The following is a 2209-nucleotide window of genomic DNA, read 5'->3' on the forward strand; positions in this document are numbered from 1 at the left end:
GTCTTTAAAGGAGGAAAGTGAAGACCTTAAGGATCACAGAGGGAAGGAAGAGTGTCTGCCAGGTGGGTCATCTTATGTTCCCCCTTTTCTTTTCCTTTTTTTTCCCCCTTTTTCTTTTAGAGACAGGGTCTTGCTTTGTCACCCAGGCTGGAGTGCAATGGCTGGATCATAGCTCACTGCAGCCTCAACCTCCTGGGGTCAAGCCATCCTCCCATCTCAGGTTCCACAGCAGCTGGGAGTACAGGTACATGCCACCACACCTGGATAATTTTAAAAATTTTTTTTGTAGAGACAGGGTCTCGCTATGTTGCCCTGGCTGATCTCCAGCTCCTGGCTTCAAGGGATTCTCCTGCCTTAGCCTCCCAAAGCACTGGAATGACAGGTGTGACCCACTGCACCCAGCCCTCATGCTCCTTTTGAATTTACCACAGAACCCCAGAAAGCTCATGACAATAATTTAATAAGTAAGTGATCTCATAAGAACGCATTCTTCCGCTCTCTGTTCAGGAAGTGTAGATATAAGCCAATCCAAGCCCATGTCCACACACACAGGCTTGTGGGCCCTTCATGTCTCTGCTCCTTTCTCCAAGCTGCTCTTTCTGCCTGGATTTCCCTGCTTCATCCTTCCAGGCCTGGAGACATCTCGCTGTTTCCTCAAGACACAGCTCCTTCTCCTTGGAGTCTTTAGGGACCCACCCTTCCAATCTCTTCAAGCAAGGCTGTCTCTCCCTAGGTCAGGTTCTCAAAGTGACAAATCCATTCTGCTCCCCTGATACTCCCCTATTGCACCGAGGTTAGCAGCCTCCAACCCAACTGTGAGCAACCCCTGACTAGGTGTTTGCCAAGCAACCAGTTACTTTTCTAATTAAACAACAACAAAAAAATGTGTTCATCAGGCCACACCACATATTCAGGGCCAGCGAAGGGCCAGTCTAGTTCATTTTCATCTCGACCCCTTTCTACTTGGTGGGACTCTCCACGGTTGCAGGCGGCTGGATCTTGTGCTCTGCTGGCCTAGTGGCCTGCAGGAGAACTCTCTAGAAGGTTCCTCTGAGTGTCTCTTACCATGAACCTACAGGGCTGCAAATAACAGTCTTCAGGCACTTCTGCAAGTAGCAGAAAGCCCCTCCACACAACACACCCTTCTGCCCATTAGCGCCAGGCTTCCTTGTGGCAGGAGACCAGAAAAGGGGCAACTGCTTCCAGAATTGTAGTAGATCTAACAGGAGAAGAATCCAAATGATCGCCTGGTCCCACAGATAGGGAAACTGGGTTTAAAAGGATGAAACTATAGTCTTACTAGGAGGACCTTTAAAAAATGAACAGAGAAGCAAAAGCAAACCTTTTTGTCCTCCTCTAAACACAGGGGGTGGTGAGAAAAAAAATAAATCAATCAAAGTCACCTGGAACAGAACCCATCAGTAAGGAAAGACAGGCTATTTTCAGGTTCTAAAAGGATACTAGTAACAGTCGGGGGTGGGGGGAAATCCACATAAAAACTGTGCTTGACAGAGGCCTTTTGAAAGCAGATAAAGGTGTGTTTTGCTGCCTTGTGGCCTTGAGCCTTTTCACTCTGCTTAGTCCAGCTGGGCTTGGAGATTGAGGTCTGGGAGTGTGATTGTCTATTTGTTCCAACTGATACTGGAGTTGTTTGCTTTGAACAATGTGACTTTGTTTCTTTGTCAGACACGGCCAGCAGCATAGCTGTTGCTTAGGAAAGGAACAAACACATTAGGAGCTTGCTAAAAGTCAAACAATGTTTTGTATATTGCAGAGTATTAGCGAAAGTACTGTGATACTGGCCAAGGCAGCTTAGTGTGGCTCTAAGGACCATAAAATTCAAGCATTGTGGTGGCAGGGAGTGATTTCCTCTCCAATGCCATCCTGAAGCATATGCACTGGGCTCTGAGCTATTTCCAAGAAGATGCTGAGAGCAGTGGATCTGGAGCCAGGAATGACAGCCTTATATTATTTAAAAATCATTGCAATTTGCTCCTCCCAGAAGAGAGGATCCATTAGCTGCATTCTGAAAGGCAAGAAGACTCCCAAGCTAAAAGCCCTGGCTGGTGTGAGGCACAACTATAATAAGGGCACCTACTGTGTGCCAGGCGCTGGACTAGCGCTGTAAGTACTGCCTGTGCATTACCCCAGTAACCTCAGTGCGTGGAAAGAGGGGTGTCTTAGAGCCAGCTCACAAGAGCCGATTATG

This window comes from Homo sapiens, chromosome 1 (genome assembly GCF_000001405.40).
Source record: "Homo sapiens chromosome 1, GRCh38.p14 Primary Assembly".
NCBI lineage: Eukaryota > Metazoa > Chordata > Mammalia > Primates > Hominidae > Homo > Homo sapiens.